The sequence below is a fragment of the Homo sapiens genome, chromosome 8 (assembly GCF_000001405.40).
Source record: "Homo sapiens chromosome 8, GRCh38.p14 Primary Assembly".
Taxonomy (NCBI): domain Eukaryota; kingdom Metazoa; phylum Chordata; class Mammalia; order Primates; family Hominidae; genus Homo; species Homo sapiens.
In genome coordinates this window covers 39,241,238-39,262,907 of record NC_000008.11, presented here as the reverse complement: position 1 = coordinate 39,262,907, position 21,670 = coordinate 39,241,238, and the positions used below count along the sequence as shown (strand labels likewise).

At 34.3% G+C, this 21,670-nt stretch overlaps 1 protein-coding gene across 13 annotated transcripts in view; it reads right to left on the bottom strand.

Moving 5' to 3' along the window:
- ADAM32 (ADAM metallopeptidase domain 32) overlaps positions 1–21,670 on the bottom strand; it is a 177,389-nt gene that overhangs the window by 22,010 nt on the left and 133,709 nt on the right. For all 13 annotated transcript variants that reach the window (NM_001313994.1, NM_145004.7, XM_011544433.3 and 10 more), the window contains 3 exon segments: positions 5,565–5,721; positions 8,392–8,494; positions 16,742–16,825. In NM_001313994.1, coding sequence (NP_001300923.1) covers positions 5,565–5,721; positions 8,392–8,494; positions 16,742–16,825 — 344 coding nt within the window.

Genomic DNA, 21,670 nt, shown 5'->3' with positions numbered 1-21,670 from the left:
GGTGAAACTCCATCTGTATTAAAAATTAAAAAAAAATAGACAGGCATGGTGGCACGCACCTGTTGTCCCAGCTACTCTGGAGGCTGAGGCCCAAGAATCACTTGAACATGGGAGGGGGAAATTGCAGTGAGCCTAAAACACTACTGCACTCCAGCCTGGGCGACAGAGCAAGAGAAAAAGAAAGGATGGAAGGAAAGAAAGAGAGAAGGAGAGAGAGGGAGTGAAAGAGAGAGAGGGAGAAAGAGGGGAAGAGAGAAAGAGGGGAATGGAGGGAGGGATGGAGGGAAGGAGGAAGGTAGGAAGGGAGGGGAACATCTGAACATATCAAATAAGAGGTAGAAGATTGCAGGAATAATCAAAAACTCCCAACTACAAAAGGCCCTGAATAGCCAAACAATCCTGAGAAAAAAGAGTAAAGCTGGAAGAATTGTACTACCAGACTCAAAATATACTACAAAGCTGAGAAACCAAAACAGCATGATACTGGCATGAAAACAGACACTTACACTAATGGAACAGAATAGAGTACACAGAAATTAATCCACATATCTACAGCCAATTGAATTTTGACAAGGTGCCAAGAATATTCATTGGAGAAAGGGCAGTCTCTTCATTAAATAGCCCTGGGGAAAACTGGATATCCACATGCATAGGAATGAAACTGGACCCCTACCTCTCAATCTATACCAGAAAAAAAAAAAAACTCATAACGGATCAAAGTCCTACATATAAAATTCAAAATAATGAAACTCACAGAAGAAAACATAGGAGAAATGATCAGGACATTGGCCTGGGAAAAGATTTTATAAATAAGACTTCAAAAGCACAGGTGACAAAAGCAAAAATAAACAAATGGGATTATATCAAATTAAAAAGTGTCTGCACAGCAAAAGAAACAATCAGCATAGTGAAAAGACAACCTACAGAATATGAGAATATATTTGAAAACTGCTGGATTAATACCAAGAATATACAATGATTTCAACTATCTCAACAGGAAAAAAGCAAACAATTAGATTTAAAAATGGGCAGATAAACTCAACAGACATTTCTCAAAAGAAGACACACAAATGGCCAACAAATATGAGAAAAAATGTTCAACATCACTAATAATCATAGAAATGCAAATCAAAACCACAATGAGGTAATCTCGCACCCCAGTTAGTATGGCTTTTATCAAAAAGACAAAAAAAAATAACAAATGCTGGCAAGAATGCAGAGAAAAGGGACACTGTTGATGGGAATATAAACTAGGATAGCCACTATGGAGAACAGCAGGGCAGCTCCTCAAAAAACAACAAATGCAACTACCATATGAACCAGCAATCACACCACTGGGTATTTATCCAAAGGAAAGGAAACCATTGTATCGAAGAGACATTTGCACTGCCATGTCTACTGCAGCACTATTTATAATAGTCAAGATACGGAATCAACCTGTTTCCAACAACAAATGGATAAAGAAAATGTGGTGTAGATACACAATGGAATATCATTTAGCCACGAAAATAAAATCCTGTCATTCACCACAACACAGATGCAACTGAAGTATGTTGTTAAGTGAAATAAGCCAGGAACAGAAACTTAAACACTGCATGTTCTCATTTATATGTGGAAGCTAAAAAAAAGTTGATCTCAGAAGTAAAATGTAGAATAGAAGATACTAGAGGCTGTGAAGTTTAAGGGGAAGGGAGGGATAAGGAAAGATTTGCTAAAGTCTACAAAGTTACAGCGAGATATGCGAAAAAAGTTCTAATTCTTTATATCACTGTAGGATGACTATAGTTAACAATAATATATAGTTTCAAATAGCTAGAAGGAGGATACTGACTCCTCCCAATACAAAGAAATGATAAATATTTGAGATGATATATCTGCTAATTACCTTGATCTGATCACTATACATTACATATACTGAAACATCCCTGTGTGCCCCATGGATATGTACAATTGTTATTTGGAAAATTTAAAAATATATGAAAAAATAAAACTTGCAATTAAAAAAAAATCTCCCAACAAAGAAAAAAACAGAACCAGATGGTTTCACTGGTAAATTCTACCAAACTTTTATAATAGAATTAATACTAATCCTTCTCAGACTCCTCCAAAAAACTGAAGAGTAGGGAACACTTTCAAACACATTTTATAAGGCCAGAATTACTCTGATACCAAAGTTAGACAAGGACATTACAAAAGAAAATAATAGGCCAATATCCTTGATTAATATAGATGTAAAAATCCTCAACAAAATACTAGTGAACTGACTTTAACAGAACATTATAAGGATGATACACCATGATCAAGTGGGATTTATATTTGTGATGCAAGGATGGTTGAAAATACACTCAACAGATACAGGAAACAAAATTCAACATATTTAATTAAAACTAGCAACAGTTTGTCATAGAAGAAATATACCTCAACATAACAAAAGCCATGTATTATAAGCCCACAGCTACATTAAACTTAACAGTGAAAAGCTATCAATAAAAGTTTTGGCCTAAGATCAAGAATAAAACAAGAAGCCCCTCTCACCATTTCTATTCAACATAGTACTAGAAGGCCTAGCCACAGGAATTAGACAAGAAATAAGAAAAAAAGGGCATCCAAATTGAATAGGAAGAAGTTGTCTCTGTTTTCAGATGACATGACCTTATACGTAAAAAACTTGACATTTGCTAAGGGAGTAGATCTTAAGTGTTCTCAATACATACACAAAAAGAGGTAATTATATGAGGTGATGGATGTGTTAATTACAGGAATTGTGATAATCATTTTACAGCATATACATATATCAGGCAAATCATCAATTTTTATTTGTCAATCATACCACAGTAAATCTAAGGGAAAAAAGATAATTGAACCTAGAATGAAAAAGTAGGATTCCAACAGGAATTATGATTGTGGTGTTGGTACGAATCACATGATAAAATGTGGTAATACTATACACACACATAAATGAATGCATACAACACTATCAAATCTGAATAAGATCTTTAGTTGTATTAAAAGTATTGTACCGATACCATTATACTGGCTGTGGAAATGCAGTGTTCATGTAAGATGTTATCAATGGAAAAAGCTAGGCAAAGTGTACATGACAGCCCTGTGCAATTTTTGCAACTTTTTGTCTTTAAATTATTTCAAAACAAAACAATTTTTAGAAAAGGAATGGTGAGTAAGACTGGGAAATATACTGGAAAATCCTAGTATTCACTGACTAAACATAAAGATGATAATAACAAAAATAACACTGACTTATTTGGGAGAAATTTGAAAGTCAAATGACAAACATTGAAAATGGAAGGAGTTAAATGACTGAAGTCCTTGGGTTATTTCCAAGAAGACTATATGTAATGATTAAATTTAGACATTATATAACATTAACTACAAATACTAAAACTTAAAGAAAATCACTAAAACAAAAACAGAATACAAAAATGTCCAGAGTTAAAGAAAAAAAAAGAGAACAGAAAAATGAAACCATTTGAGAGCAGCTGCTGACATGGAGAAACCCAGTCTCTACTAAAAATACAAAAAATTAGCCAGGCGTGGTGGTGCACGCCTGTAATACCAGCTTCTGGGGAGGCTGGGGCAGGAGAATCACTTGAACCCGGCGAGCTAAGGTTGCAGTGAGCCAAGATCATGCCTCTGCACTCCAGCCTGGGCAACAAGAGCAAAGCTTCGTCTCAAAAAAGAAAGAAAAATGAAACCAAGAAAATAGATGATAGAAAAAGGAAAAAAAAAACAAAAAACATGGTAAATAGGAAAAAAGTAGGATGGCAAATTTCAGCCTAAACATATGTCATCATGGATTAAGCATATGAGCATAATGAACTCCATTAGTGCATTTCATATAAAGGCTGTTTATAAGACACCAGCTAAATGCAAAGACAGATTGAGAAAAAAACGAAAAAAGTTGTACCAGGTAAACGTCATTTTTAAAGAGAAAGTTGATATAGCAATCTAAAACAGTGAAAATTGTATTTAAGATATTATTAGTAATGATTAAAGGAAAATACATCAAGAAAATTTAACTAAAATAAACATTATGCATTTAGTCACTGCCTCAGAATATCTGAAGCGAAAATTTCAACAATCAGAGGGAAAGCTACAACCCACTGAAAATTTTACTTTGCCTCTCACAGAAGACAAAGTATCAAACGGACAGGAAAAAAACCCAGTATGTATAAAAATGATTTGAAACAACACAATTAAAAAGTTGGTCCTAAAAACATTGGAGGACACATATCAAGCTTACACATTTATAAAAATTTACTTCATTTTTTGTTCCAACATTTAAGAGAACCACATAGACAAGTTTCTCAAAATAAGCTAATAAAATTAGAAAATTATTTTTAAAACAATGAAAATAAATCATATAATTGAAAACTAAAGATTACAATTGATTCATTATTTAAACAAGAAATCCTGCTAGATTTTTCAAATTTTTTTAACTGAATGTCGACTATCATTTAAAAACTGGAGAGTATAAAGGAAATGATATATGTTAAGGAGAAGGTTTTTGCTATTAAAGTATTTCTTATTTTAGAAAATAAGAAGGGTTGAAAATTAATAAAGAAAGCATTAAAATCAAGAAATCTAGAGTTACAACAGAGCAAAGGTAAAAAGACCAGAAAGGAGGAAAAAGAGCAAAACTTGATATAAAAAACAATAGAAATAGAGACCACAATGAAACCAAAAGTTACATGTTTCAAACTACTAACAAAATAAAAACACCTCTGAGCGGACTGCTCATGAAAAAGAAAAAAAAAAGACAAAACAAACAAACCAAAATTGAAAAAGAAATGCATCTGCAGAGAAAGTATAGCTATTTAAAATTATACATAAAACAATACTAGGTAGGTTATGGGATATGGATAATGCCACGTGTATTAAAAACATGTAAGATACACAAACATTCAGTGTAGACATCCTCTACAGGGAGGGAAGGGGATCATACCAGAAGGAATTGCAGCTGCAAATACAATGGCTTATTTTATAAGAGAAACAAGAAAAATATTAATATCTGTTTATTTCCCATGGTGGGCAAGAGGATGTTTGTCATGTTGTTCTCTGTCTTAGTGTTTGAATTATTTCTTGAAAAATAAAAATGTAATAATCTAAATTACAAATTTCCCTTCTGAAAATTTAACCCAAAGAATATTTTTAAAATTACTTCTTATATGAGCCAGCAATGTGAATTAAAATATTTAGTCTGTAGTAAGGCCCTGAAATCTGCATTTTTAATAAATACTTCTGTTGTAGATGATACAGATCATCCCCTTTGATAAGAAAAGAACAGATATTACGTAAACATTTGACTTCTTCCTCTCTCAACTAGCAGTTCAATGACTTTGGCAAACTATGTAAATTACACTTCCAAATCTTTGTGTCTTAAAAATGGGTATTCACAGCTACCTCATAAAATTAAATGACATATTGATGTAATACTCAAAATCCCAGTGATATGTAAAGTATTGCTACTGCTCGTGATATTGTCTTACATATAACTAGATTCAAATGGTACTAATGTTTAACTTCAGAACACAAATGCAATTTACTCGCTACTTGGGAATTCCTCTTCCTTGGCGAACCACTTTTTCAACTGTTTCCTTGCCAAAACTATTGCGGTTGTTACAATGAGAATAGGAAGAGCAATGAGGAAACCTAGAAGCCAGGTGTTTTCAGTCTTCCCAGATGCTCTTTCCATGATTGAACCTAAAAACAGAAATACAAAAAAAAAAAAACAAAAAAATTAAACTATCTACTTTTACTTTCAAGTTGCAACACATTCATTAAAATCTTCTGAATTTGTATTGTTATTCAAGGAACATGGAAAAAATCATTATAGAATTGTAATCATAATCCTTGGGGCTACCTGTACAACGTTTCATTCTAAAAGCATGGAAACCAAGTTTTGGAAAGTTCAAAAGTATTCAAGTCTCACAGCAGCTACAGCAAAATCTCACTATAACCCTCTAAGTAGGGACAAAAAAATTCAATGATATACAACGTGGGATTGTGTAATTGCATGGTTATCCAAAAATGCACTCTTACAAGGTGCATTATCAAAGGAATTCAGTGTATTTGTGTATATCTTATTTTTCTTTGGTAGATTGTTGGCTTTTGGCCTTGGGGATCATGTTGTAAATGGGGTCATTGCAATACTACTAAAAGGGCACTGGCATAAAAATTAGAAGAATTGATTCCTAATCCTAATTCTGTCCCTTGCTATCACTGGATACATAGACCTAAACATATTCTCTAAACTCCATGAGGAGAAGAACTTCATTTTGCTCACCGTACATCCCCAGTGTGTAGACCAGCACCTGGACCTGGCATATATTAAGAGTTCAGTAAACATTTGCTAACTCAATAAATGAATTAATGACAGAAATGGAAGCTGTGGGGCACAAACAGAATAATATGCCAGCATCACTTCTGTCATCTCCTAAGCAGAAATTGATGGATTTTTCTGATTTAAATGATAAACTCCTTCAGAGTAAAATCTTGTCTTCTATTTCATTTCTTCTGTAACAGAAACACAGTAACAGTACTAGACACAGAGAAAATGTCATTTGTTTAGAGCTGAGGTCACAGGATCAGTCATAAAGCTGAGGAAGAGAGGTTGAAAATATTCTAAAAGATAAAGTCAATGATATCAGTAAAGAGAAATTTTAAAAGGTATTCAGCGTGAATTATGATATTTTAATGTTAGAAAAAAGAGCAAGACAAGATCGGGCACATTCAGGCTGGTATGGCCATAGACAATAAGGCTAAAGTCACCAAAACAGCATGGTACTGATATAAAAATAGACACAGAGACCAATGGAATGGAATAGGGAATCCAGAAATAAAGCCAAGTACGTACAGCCAACTGATCTTCAACAAAGCAAACAAAAACATAACATGGGGAAAGGACACCCTATTCAACAAATGGCACTGGGATAACTGGCAAGCCATATGTAGAAGAATTAAACCAGATCCTCATCTCTCACCTTATACAAACATCAACTCAAGAGGGATCAAAGACTTAAATTTAAGACCTGAAACCATAAAAATTCTAGAATATAACATCAGGAAACTATTCTAGACATTGGCTTAGGCAAAGCGTTCATGAGCAAGAACCCAAAAACAAATGCAATAAAAACAAAGATAAATAGAAGGGACTTAATTAAATTTAAAAGCTTCTGCGAAGCAAAAGATATAATCAGCAGAGTAAACAGATAACCCACAGAGTGGGAGGAAATCTTCACAAACTATGCATCTGACAAAGAACTAATATCCAGAATCTATAAGGAACCCAAACAAATCAGCAAGAAAAAAAGGAATTCCATCAAAACATGGGCTAAGGACATGAATAGGTAACTCTCAAAAGAAGATATACAAATGGCCAACAAACATATGAAAAAATGCTCAACATCACTAATGATCAGGGAAATGTAAATCAAAACCACAATGCAATACCACCTTACTCCTGCAAGAATGGTCATAATTTAAAAATCAAAAAATAATAGATGTTGGCATGGATGTGCTTAAAGGGGAGCACTTTTACGTTGTTGGTGGGAATGTAAACTAGCACAGCCACTACGAAAAACAGTATGGCAATTTCTTGAAGAACCAAAAGTAGATCTACCATTTGATCCAGCAATCCCACTATTGGAAATCTACCCAGAGGAAGTCATTATATAAAAGTCATTACATAAAAAGACGCTAACACAAATGTTTATAGCAGCACAATTTGCAACTGCAAAAATATGGAACCAGCCCAAATGCCCATCAATCAGTGAGTGAATAAAGAAAGTGTGATGTATATATACACCATGGAATACTACTCAGCCATTAAAAGGAACAAAATAATAGCATTCGCAGCAACCTGGATGGAGTTTGAGACCATTATTCTAAGTGAAGTAACTCTTCACTTGAAGAATGGAAAACCAAATATCATATGTTCTCACTCATAAGTGGGAGCTAAGCTATGAGGACACAAAGGCATAAGAATGATACAATGGACTTTGGGGTATTGAGGGGAAGGATAGGAGTAGGTGAGGTATAAAAGACTACACATTGGGTACAGTATACACTGCTTGGGTGATGGCTGCACCAAAATCTCAGAAATCACCACTAAAGAACTTATCCATGTTACCAAAATCCACCTATTCCTCAAAAACCTATTGAAATAAAAAAAATTAATTGATTAGTTAATTATAAAGAAAAGAGAGCAAGATTAAGATGGCATGTTTGGTTTCCATTCCTTGAGAGAATTCTGATTACCTTTTTATTACAAATATCAGTTGCCTTGTAAGTGGAAAAATCGAACTTTGTTTTAGTGAAGATAAGCAATTTGAGAATTTTATTAAATGGGTATTTAAAGAGACAAATACTTGCCCATATCTTCCTCAGGAAATATGGAAAATCCTTTGGAACGTATTTGGCAGTTTGGAGGCTTATAGCCTGGCGAACAATGGCACTTGTTTCTGGAATCACACACCTAGGATCATTTTGAAAAATTAAATGATTGTTTTAAAATATTTTCTCAGAGAAGGTGAGCATCAAGCTTACTTTTGTACCATAATCTAGTGTAATTTTGTTTATTTAGAGCGACAGTCTCACATATCAAATGTTTGGTTTCTTAGACTACAACACAGACACACACACAAAGCAAAAAAAAAAAAAAAAGAACTATAAAGTGAGGCTCTCAATATTTGCATCAAGAAAATTTGACACCTTGAAATGTTTACCTACAAATTTACGATGCAATTTCAAAAATGCATACTTAAATTATAATGAAAATGTGACCCCTCCAGTGACATGCTGGAGCCAGCATATATGAGTCTATCTTTGAGCTATTTTCATCCATCGCTTTATATGTCTCTATTTTATGACAGTAACATCCTGTTCTGGTTACTGTACCTTTGTACTGTATTTTGAAAAGCTTTGTTCTTCTTTTTAAAAATTGCTTCTAATTATCTGGATTTTTTTCATCTTATATAATTTTTTTATTTTCTATTTCTTTGAAAAATAACATGGAGATTCTGATAAGGATTGCATGGAATCTGTAGATAATTTTGACTATTAGGGATAGTTTAACAATATTAGTTTCTTCAATCCGTGGAATATCTTTCAATTTTTTGTGTCTCTTTTACTTTTTTTCATGTTTCATAGTTTTCAGTGTACAAGTCGTTCACCTCCTTGGTTTGTTTTAAACCTAAGTATTTTATTCTTTTTGATGCTGTTGTAAATGGGATTGTTTAACTAATCTCCTTTCCTGACCGTCTGTTTTTGACGTATAAAAATGAACTGATTTTTGAGTGTTGTTTTTGTGTCCTGCAACTTTACTGAATTCATTATTTCTTCTACTAGTTTTATGGAACCTTTATGGTTTCCTGTGTATACAATCATGGCATTTGCAAACAGAAGCTACTTTATTTCTACTTTCCCATTTGGATGCTATTTATTTCTTTTCCTTGCCTCATTGCTTCATCTAGGAATTCCAGTACCAAGTTGAAGAGAAGTGCAGAGACTGAGTATCCTTGCATTGTTATAGATCTTAAAGTAAAGGCGTTCATTATTTCACCATTGAGTATAATTTTAGCTATGGATTTTTACATGTAGGCTTTCTGCTATTCCTAACGTATTGAGTTTTTATAATGAAAGGGTGTTGGATTTTGTCAAATGCTTTTTCTGCATCTTAATGTCATAAAGTAAATTGATCTTTCATCTTCTTAATGTGGCATATCTCATTAATTGATCTGTGCATTTTGAACCATCCTTGCATCCCAGGAATAAATCCCATCTGGTCATAGTGTATGATTCTTTTAACGTGCGGCAAATATAGTTTGTTAATGTCTTGCTGTAAATTTTTGCATGCATGTTTGTAGATATATTAGCCTGCAATTTTATTTTCTTGTTTAATTCTTCTGTAAATGTTTAACAGAATTCATTTGTGAAGCCCCCTAGTCCTGAGATTTTCTTCGCTAGAAAGTTTTGTTTACTGATTTAATCTCTTTATTTGTTATTGTTCTGTTCAGGCTATTTATTCTTGATTCAGTCTTGGCAGGTTGTATCATCCTAGGAATTTATAAATTTCTTCTAGGTTATCCAACTTGTTGGTGTATAAATATACACCACAGTATCTTCTTAAAAAATTTCTGTGACATCAGTTGTAATATCTGCTCCTTCATTTCTGATTTTGAGTCTTATTTCTTTTTTTCTTGCTATTTTACCTAAGAGTTTGTCCTTTTTTTAATCTTTTCAAAAACTCAACTCTTAATTTCCTTGATTTTGTCTATTATTTTTCTATTCTCTATCTTATTTGTGCTCTAATCTTCATAACTTCCTACTGCAAACTTGGAGTTTGTTCAATTTTTTTCTAGTTTCTTGAGGTGTAAAGTTAGAATGTTTATTTGAAATCTTTATTCTTTTTAATGTAAGAATTTATCACTATAAATTTCCCTTTAGTACTGTTTTTGCCACATCCCTTTTTTTTTTCATTTTTTGTTTGTCTTGAGATATTTTCTAATTTCCGTTTTGATTTGTTGTTTAGCCCAATGGTTGTTCACTCATGTGTTATTTAATTTTCATGTATTTTTTAAGTTTTCCCACTTTCTTTTAATATTAACTTCTAGCTTCAATCTAGTGTGGTCAGAAAATACACTTGGAGTGATGTCAGTCTTCTTAAATTTGTTAAGACTTGTCTCGTGACTTAATATGTGGTCAGCAATTCTGAGCAAAAAGAACAAAGCCAAATGCATAACATTATCTGACTTCAAGTTATACTACAGAGCTATAGTAACCAAATCACCATGGTACTGGCATAAAATCAAACACATAGACCAATGGAACAGAATAAAGAATCCGGCTACAAATACATGCATTTACACCAATTCATTTTCAACAAAGGCACCAAGAATGTACAACAGAGAAAGAACAGTCTCTTCAATAGATGGTGCTGGAAAAATTCGATAACCATATGCAGAAGAATAAAACTTGATCATTATCTTTCACTGTGTACAAAAATAAAATCAAAATGTATTCAAGACTTAAATCTAAGAACCAAAACTATAAAATTACCAGGAGAAAATGTAGGAAAATAGTTCTAAGACACTGATTATGTAATTATTTTTTGGATATAACCTCAAAAGCACAGGAAACATAAGCAAAAATAAACAAATGGGATTACACCAAGCTAAAAAGCTTCTACACAGCAAAAGAAGCAATCAACAAAGTGAAGAGACAACCCACAGAATAAAAGAAAATATTTCCAAACTATCCATCTGACAAGGGACTGACAATCATAATATATAAGGAGCTCAAATAACTCAATAGGAAAAAACTCCACAAAGTATATGATTAAAAAAATGGGCAAAAGATCTGAATAGACATTTCTCAAAATAAAACAAACAAATGGCCAACAGGTATATGAAAAAATGTTCAACATCACTAATTATGAGAGAGATGCAAATCAGAATTATGAGATATAATCTCAATCCAGTTAAAATGGCTTATAAAAGCCATTTTTTTTTTGTAACAAAAAGACCATCTTTTTGATAAAAAAAGATGGAACAGCCAATGCTGGCGAGGCTGTGGAGAAAAGGAAAGACTCACACACTATAGGTGGGAATGTAAATTAGTACAGCCACTATAAAAAATTGTGTGGAGATTCCTCAAAAAAACTAAAAATAGAACTACTATATGACCCAGCAATTCTACTACTGAGTAAATAACCAAAAGAATGGAAATCAATACTTCAAAATGCTATCTGCATTCCCATGTTTATTGTAGCACTATTCACAATAGCCAAAATATAGAATCAATGTAAGCGTCCATGAATAGATGAATAAATAAAGAAAATGTGAGATACATACACAATGTAAAACATAGGCTATAAAAATAATGAAATCCCATCACTCATAGCAACATGGATGGAACTGGAAGTTATTATGTTAAATGAAATAGGATAAGCACAGAAAGATAAATATCACATGTTCTCACTCTTATGTGGAAGCTAAAAAAGTGGATTCATGAAGATGCAGAGTAGGTGGGTGGTTACCAGAGGCCAGAATGTGTAATGGGAGGAAAGGATGAAGAGAGGTTGATTAATAGGTACAAATATCCAGTTTGAAAGAAGAAGTAAGACCAAGTGTTTGACAGATCAGTAGGATGACCAGAGTTTAAAATAACCTATTGTATATTTCAAAAATAGCTAGAAAAATAAATTCAAATGTTTTAGCATAAAGACAAATATGTAAAGTGATGGATATCTTAATTATACTGATTTGATTTTTATGAATTATATGAATGTATTATCATTTATACCCCCACAACAGGTACAACTATTGCCAATAAAAAATAAAACTAAAATAAATAAATAAAACAATTATACTTCATATGCTGAAAGCTCTAATGGATAAAGTAGACTACATGTAAGAACAGATGGGCAGTGTAGGCAGACAGATAAAAATTCTAAGAAAGAATCAAAAAGAAGTACTAGAGATCAAAAACACTGCAACAGAAATGAAGAATGCTTTTGATGGGCCCGTAAATAGAATAATTATGGCTGAGATGAGAAAAGATCTCTGAGCTTGAGGGTGTCTCAATAGAAACTTCTAAAACTAAAAAGTCAAAAAAAAAAGGTTGAAAAAACAGAACAGAATATCCAAGAACTGTGGGACAACTAAAAAAATGTATAACATACATGTAATGAGGATACCAAGAGAACAAAAAAGAATGGAATAGAAGAAATATTTGAAGCAATAATAGCTGATAATTTTCCAAAATTAATGTCTCACAACAAATCACAGATCAAGCAACCCCTACCACAAAAAAATCAGGACAAATGCCAAAAATTTATACCTAGACATAATAACTTTCAAACTACAGAAAATCAAAGATAAAGACAAATTTGGAAAGAAGCCAGAGGGAGAAAATACCATATCTATAGAGGCACAAAGATAAAAATTATACTGGACTTCTCTTCAGCAACCATGCAAGCAAAAAGAGTGAGGAGTGAAATATTTAATCCTTTGAAATTATCTTGCAAAAATGGAAATGAAATAAAGACTCTCAAACAAGCAAAAATTGAGAGTATATATCACCAGTAGACATGCCTTTGAAATAAATGTCAGAAGAGATTCTTCAGAGAGAATGATAATCACAAAGGTCAGCAAATGTTATTTACATAAAAAGAATAGTATTAGAGAAGGAATTAAGTGAAAGTAAACTAAAAATTTTTATTTTTCTTATTCTTAATTGATGTTACAGATAATTGTTTGCTGAGATGGGTTCACTATTAAATTCTACCTAACACTTAAGGGAGAAATTATACCAATTTTCTATAATCTCTTACAATCTCTTTCAGAAGACAGAAGCAGAGGGGATACTTCCTCACTCATTCTATCAGGCCATCCTTACCCTAACATCAAAACCATAGAAAAATATTACAAGAAATGGAAACTACAGAAAAATGTCTGTCGATGCAAAGATGCAAAAAACTCTCACTATACATTAGTAAATCAGATTCAACAATGCATAAAAAGAATTATACACCACAAACAAGATTTATCGCAGGCATGTAACTGGTTCAACATTAGAAAATTAGCTGATGTACTTCATCTCACATCAATAAGCTAAAGAAGAAAAATCACATTATCATATCAATAAATACAGAAAAAGCATTTAACATTAAAAAGCCAACACTCAGGCCTGGCACAGTGGCTCATGCCTGAAATCCCAGCACTTTGGGAGGCCAAGACGGGCAGATCATGAGGTCAGGAGATCGAGACCATCCTGGCTAACACGATGAAACCCCGTCTCTACTAAAAATACAAAAAAATTATCCGGGCATGGTGGCAGGACCCCTGTAGTCCCACCTACTCGGGAGGCTGAAGCAGGAGAATGGCGTGAACCTGGGAGGCAGAGCTTGCAGTGAGCCGAGATTATGCCACTGCACTCCAGCCTGGGCAACACAGTGAGAGTCCATCTCAAAAAAAAAAAAAAAAGTCAACACTCATTTGTGTTTTAAAAGCAAACTAACAGTAAACTAGGAATAGAGGGAAATTTTTTCATCTAACAAACTATCAAACAAAAAAACCTACAGCTGACATCGTACTTAATGGTGAGATATTAGATACTTTCCCAGTAAGATAAGGAGCAATGCAAGGACGTCTCCTCTCACCACTCCTATTTCAGTATCATACAGGAAGTTCTAACTAATACAATAAAATAATAAAAAAAGTATACTGATTGGGAAGAAAGAAATAAAACTGTCTTTGTTCATATATGACATAAACACCAATTTGGAAAATCTAAAAAGAATTGAAGAACCCTTGGAACTAACAAGTGATTGTAGCATGGTTGCAATATACAAGGTTAATGCACAAAAGCCAATAATTTTCCTATACACCAGCAACGAACAAATGAAACTTGAAATTAAAGACATAATACTATTTGCATTAGCCCCCCCAAAAAATGAAGTACTTGGTATAAATCTAACAAAATATATATAAGATCAATATGAAGAAAACTACAAAACACTGATGAAGGAAATAAAAAAGGACTAAATAAATGAAAACACATTACATGTGAATGGATAGAAAGACTCAATATCGTCAAGATATCAGTTCTTACTAACTTGATCTATAGATGGAACACAATCCCTGTCAAAATCCCAGCAAGGTGTTCTGTGGAAATTAACAAACTGATTCTAAAGTTTCTATGGAGGCACAAAAGATCAAGAATAGTCAAGTTACCATTGAAAGAAAAAGAACAAAGTCAGAAGACTAACACTACCCAACTTCAACATACTGTAAGTCTGTAGTAATCGAGGCAATATGATATAGGAGAAAGAATAATCAAATGGATCAATGAAATAGAATAAGGAGCCCAGCAACTGACAAACATAAATCTAGTCAACTGATCTCTGACAAAGGAGCAAAAGCAATACAGTAGAGAAAAGAAAGACTTCAACAATTGGTACTAGCTAGACATCAAAATGCAGGAAAAAAAAAAGAATCTAGACACAAACTTATCACCCTTCAAAAAGTTAATCCAGAATGGGTCATAGGCCTAAATGTAAAATGCAAAGCTAAAAAACTCCTAGAAGATAACTCAGAAAAAAAAAAAAAACCTGGATGACCTTGGGTATTGCATAGACTTTTTAGATACAATACTGAAGGCACAATCTATGAAAGAAATAATTAAGAAGCTGGGCCTCATAAAATTAAAACATTCTCTGTGAAAAGCACTGTCAAGAGAATAAAAAGATAAGCCACAGAATGGAAGAAAATATTTGCAAAAGACACATCAGATACATGACTGTTATTCAAAATATGAAGAGAAAACTTAAAACTCAACAAGAAAACAACTTGATTTAAAAATGGGCAAAAGACTTTAAAAGGCCCCTCACCAAAAAAAAATAGATGGAAAATAAGTATATGAAATATGCCTCACATATGTCATCAGTAAAATGCAAATTAAAACAGCAATGAAATACCACTACACACCTATTAGAATGGCCAAAATCCAAAACACTGACAACAAAAAATGTTGGCTTGGATGTGGAGCAACAGGGACTCTCATTCACTGCTGGTGGGAATGCAAACTGGTACAGCCACTTTCAAAGATGTTTTGTCAGTTTCTAACAAAACTAAGCATACTCTTACGATATGATACAGCAACCACAATGCTTGGTATTTACTCAAAATAGGTGAAAATTTATGTCCACACAAAAACCTGCAGAAGGATGTTTATAGAAACTTTATTTGTAATTACCAAACTTGGAAGCAACCAAGATGTTCTTCAGTAGATGAGTGGATAAATAACTATGGTACATTCAGACAATGGAATATTATTTAGCACTAAAAAGAAATAAGCTATCAAGCCATAGAAAAACACGGAGAAACATTAAATGCATATTACTAAGTGAAAGAAACCAATCTGAAAAGGCTACATACTATATGATTTCAATGAAATGACATTCTGGAAAAGAAAAACCTAGGAAAACAGTAATAAGATAAGTGGTTGCCAAGGGTTAGTGGAGACAGAAGGATGAACTGATGGAGCACAGAGAATTTTTAGAGTAATGAAAATACTCTCTGTATATCATAATGATGGATCTATATCATTACACATTTGTCAAAACCCATAGAATGTGAGACACTAACAGTGAATCCTAATGTAAACTGGACTTTGGGTGACAATGATATGTCCTTGTAGGTCATCAATTATAACAAACAGACCACTCTGGTGTGTGATGTTAAAATTGGGAAAGATTGTGCCTCTGTAAGATGAGTGGATATATGGAAAATCTCTGTACTTTCTACTTTCCAAAGTTTCTGTGAACCTGAAGCTCCTCTAAAAAATAAAGTCTATTTTTAAAAGTAGATAAATAAAACAATAGTTTTTCATGATCCCTGTGTATTCACAGACACAGGAATTACAGCATAATTATCTTTCCTTTGAGAACCAGGTTAATGTATTTATCAGAAAATTTAACACCCTCTGAAAAGTACCCAATTATAACAATATATATTTAGGTCATTAGCAATTTAATTCTGCTCAATATATCTTCTGTAACTAATTATGGCTGCTGAATTTAATGACTTAATTCAGCTCTCAATTGAAGCTAGATGCAACAGAGTCTGTCACATGGTAGTGACCCAAAAAATGTCAGTAAATTAATGAGTGATGCAAAAAAGTGTCCAAGAAATGTGATTCAGGGAAACATGTGGTTACTTACTCCATGTCCAGAACACTGTTGTGAACAAACATGTGCTGAAGCCTTAATTATCCTTGATTCTACACATTCACGATTTACACAAACCTAAAGAAAAACACATACAAAAAAAGTTCCCATGTCAGAGGGGTACAGTCATCATAACATTACAGTAAATAATTATATGATATAAAAGCATAGCCATTCAATGATACAAATTTTCCTCTAAGTACTGCTTTTGCTGCATTCCAGAAGGGTGTTTTATTTTTTTTGCAAGAAAAGACATTTGTGATTTATTTGCATTTTAAATTGATATTATTATTACTATGTTTCTTCATGTAGTTCTAAAGCAGAATAATTAAAACAATAACAAAAAGCCCAGTGTTTAAATAATAAGAGAGTTTTAGCAAACATCTAAATAAGGATATTATATTGTCTACTTAGGCTGACACCACAAAGTACTATAGCTTAAGTGGCCTCAACAACAGTGACTTATTTTCTAACAGTTCTAGAGGCTGGAAGTCCAAGATCAAGGTGTCTGCAGGGTTGGTTTCTCCTGAGGCCTCTCTTCTAGACTTGCCTTCTCCCTATGTCCTCACATGGCCTTTCCTCTACATGCACAAGCCCCTGGTGTCTCGTTGTGTATCCAAATCTATTTTTTATAAGGATGCAAGTCAGATTGGAACAAGGCTGCAGTTTCATTTAACCTTAACTACTTCTTCTTTTTTTAATTTTTATTTCAATAGATTTTGGGGAACAGGTGGTGTTTGGTTACACGAATAAGATTTTTAGTAGTGATTTCTGAGATGTTGGTGCAGCCATCATCCTAGCAGTGCACACTGTACCCAATATGTAGCCTTTCATTCCTTACTGCCTCCCACCCTTCCCCCCAAGTCCCCAAAGTCTATTGTATCATTCTCATGCCTTTGCATCTTCAGAGATTAGCTCCCACTTGTGAGTGAGAACATATGATGTTACGTTTTCCATTCCTGAGTTACTTCACTTAGAATAATGGCTCCAACTCCATCCAGGTTGCTGTAAAATGTCATTATTTTGTTCCTTTTTAAGGCTGAGTAGGATTCCATGGTATTTATATACCACATTTTCTTAGCCACTGTGGGTTGTCTGTTTACTCTGCTGATTATATTTTTGCTATGCAGAAGCTTTTTAGTTTAATTAAGTCCCATCTATTTATCTTTGTTTTTATTGCATTTGCTTTTGGGTTCTTGTTCATGAACTCTTTACCTAAGACAATATCTAGAAGAGTTTTTCTGATGTTATCTTCTAGGATTTTTATGGCTTCAGGTGTTATATTTAAGTCTTCGACACATCTTTTTTTTATTATACTTTAAGTTTTAGGATACATGTGCACAACGTGCAGGTTTGTTACATATGTATACATGTGCCATGTTGGTGTGCTACACCCATTAACTCGTCATTTAACACTAGGTATATATCCTAATGCTATCCCTCCCCACTCCCCACACCCCACAACAGGCCCCGGTGTGTGATGTTCCCCTTCCTGGTCTTTGACACATCTTGAGTTGATATTTGTATAAGGTGAGAGATGAGGATCCAGTTTCATTTTTCTACATGTGGCTTGCCAGTTATCCCACCACCATTTGTCGAATAGGGTGTCCTTTCCCCACTTTATGTTTTTGTTTGCTTTGTCAAAGATCAGTTGACTGTAAATACTTGGCTTTATTTCTGGGAGCTCTATTCTGTTCCATTGGTCTATGTGTCTATTTTTATAGTGGTACCATGCTGTTCTGGTGATTATAGCCTGGTAGCATAGTTTGAAGTCAGGTAATGTGATGCTTCCAGATTTGTTTTTTGGGTTTTCTTATTTTGTTTTGTTTTTGTTTTTTTGCTTAGCCTTTCTTTGCCCATGCAGCTCTTTTTTGGTTCCATATGAATTTTAGGATCGTTTTTTCCAGTTCTGTGAAGAATGATGATGGTATTTTGATGGGAATTATATTGAATTTATATATTGCTTTTGACAGTATTGTCATTTCCACAATATTGATTCTACCCATCCATGAGCATGGTATGTGTTTTCATTTGTTTGTGTCATCTATAATTTCTTTCAGCAATGTTTCACAGTTTTCCTTTGTTAGGTATATTCCTAAGTATATTGGGGGGTTTTGTTGCACCTACCATAAAAGGGGTTGAATTCTTGATTTGATTCTCAGCTTGGCCACTGTTGGTGTATAGCAATGCTACTGATTTGTGTACATTACTTTTGTATCCTGAAACTTTACTGAATTCATTTATCTAATCTCGGAGCTTTTTTGATGAGTCTTTAGGGTTTCCAAGGTATATGATCATATCATTGGCAAGCAGTGACAGTTTGACTTCCTCATCATCAATTTGAATACTCTTTCTTTCTTTCTTTCTCTTGTTTGATTGCTCTGGCTAGGACCTCCAGTACTATGTTGAATAGAAGTGATGAAAATGGGCATCCTTATCTTCTTCCTGTTCTCAGGGAAAATGCTTTCAACTTTTCCCTATTCAGTACAATGTTGTCTGCGGCTTTGGCATATACAGCCTTTATTACCTTAAGGTATGTCCCTTCTATGCCAATTTTTCTGAGGGTTTTAATCATAAAGCGATGTTGGATTTTGTCAAATGCTTTTTCTGTGTCTATTGAAATGATCATCTGATTTTTGTTTTAAATTCTGCTTATGTGTTGTATTACATTTATTTAGTTGTATATGCTAAACTTGCATCTCTGGTATGATACCAACTTGATCATGGTGGAATATCTTTTTGATATGCTGTTGCATTCAGTTAGCTAGTATTTAGTTGAGAAAATTTGCATTTTTGTTTACCAGAGATATTGGTCTGTAGTTTTCCTTTTTTGTTCTTTCGTTTCCTGGTTTTGATATTAGGGTGATATTGGTTTCATAGAACAATTTAGGAAAAATTCCCTCTTTCTCTATCTTTTGAAATATTTTCAGTAGGATTGGTACCAGTTCTTTTATTAATCTCTGACAGAATTCAGGTATGAATCCATCCAATTCTGGACTTTTTTTCATTGGTAATGGTTTTTATTACCATTTCAATCTCACTGCTTGTTATTAGTCTGTTCAGAGTTTCTATTTCTTCCTGATTTTATTTAGGAGGGTTGTATATTTCCAGGAATTTATTTATCTCCCCTAGGTTATCTATTTTGTGTTCATAAAGGTGTTCATAGTAGCCTTCAATGATCTTTTGTGTTTCTATGCTATAGGTTGTAATATCTCCCATTTCATTTCTAATTGAGCTTATTTAGAACTTTCTCTTCTTTTCTTGGTTAATATCACTAATGGTCTATCCGTTTTGTTTATCTTTTCAAAGAACCAGCTTTTGTTTCATCTATTTTTCCTTTGATTGTATCCATTTTATTTACTTCTGCTCTGATCTTTGTTACTTATTTTCTTCTGCTGGATTTGGGTTTAGTTTGTTCCTGTTTCTCTAGTTCCTTGAGGTATGACTGTTATGGTTTGGCTGTGTTCCCAGCCAAATTTCATTCTGAATTCCCACATATTGTGAGAGGTAACCAGTGGGAGGTAATTGAATCATGGAGGCAGGTCTTTCCTGTGCTCTTCCTGTGATAGGGAATAAATCTCATGAGATCTGATGGTTTTCTAAAAGGGAGATTCACTGCACAAGCTCTCTTCTCTTGTCTGCTAATATGTATCTTTCACCTTCCACCATGATTGTGAGGCTTTCCCAGCCATGTGGAACTGTAAGTCCATTAAACTTCTTTCTTTTGCAAATTGCCCAGTCTCAGGTATGTCTTTATCAGCAGCATGAAAAAAACTAATACAGTAAATTGGTACCAGTAGAGTGGGGTGCTGCTGAAAAGAAACCCAAAAATGTGAAAGTGACTTTGGAACTGGGTAACAGGCAGAGGTTGGAACAGTTTGGAGGGCTCAGAAGAAAATAGAAACATGTGGGAAAGTTTGGAACATCCTAGAGGCTTGTCAAATGGTTTGGACCAAAATGCTGATAACGATATGAACAACACAATCCAGGCTGAGGTGGTCTCAGATGGAGATCAGGAACTTGTTGGGAACTGGAGCAAATGTGGCTCTTACTATGTTTTAGCAGAGACTGGCAGCATTTTGTCCATGCCCTAGAGATTTGTGGAATTTTGAACTTGAGAGAGATGATTTAGAGTATCTGGTGGAAGAAATTTCTAAGCAGCAAAGCATTCAAGAGGTGACTTGGGTGCTATTAAAGGCATTCAGTTTTAAAAGGGAAACAGATCACAAAAGTTTGGAAAACTTGCAGCCTGATAGCACAATAGAAAAGAAAATCCCACTTGCTGAAAAGAAATTCAAGCCAGCTACAGAAACTTACATGAGTAATGGGGACCCAAATGTTAATCACCAAGACAATGGGGAAATTGTCTCCAGGGCATGTCAGAGGCCTTGGTGGCAGCCTCTCCAGTCAGAGGCCTGGAGGTTTAGGAGGGAAAAAATGACTTTGTGGGCCAGGCCCACGGTCCCTCTGCTGTGTGCAGTTTAGGGACTTGGTGCCCTGCATCCAGCCACTCAAGCTGTGACTGAAAGGGACCAAGGTACAGCTCAGGCTGTGGCTTCAGAGGGTGGAAGCCCAAGCCTTGGCAGCTTCCATGTGTTGTTGAGGCTGTGGATGCACAGAAGCCAAGAGTCAAGATTTGGGAACCTCTGCCTAGATTTCAAAGGATGTATGAGTGTCCAGGCAGAAGTTTGCTGCAGGAGTGGAGCCCTCATGGAGAACCTCTGCTAGAGCAGTGTGGAAGGGAAATGTGAGGTTGGAGCCCCCACACAGAGTCCCTACTGGGGCACTGCCTAGTGTAGTCATGAGAAGAGGGCCACCATCCTCCAGACCCCAGAATGGTAGATCCACCTACAGCTTGCACTGTTTGCCTGGAAAAGCTGCAGACATTCAGTGCCAGCCTGTGAAAGCAGCCAGGAGGCTATA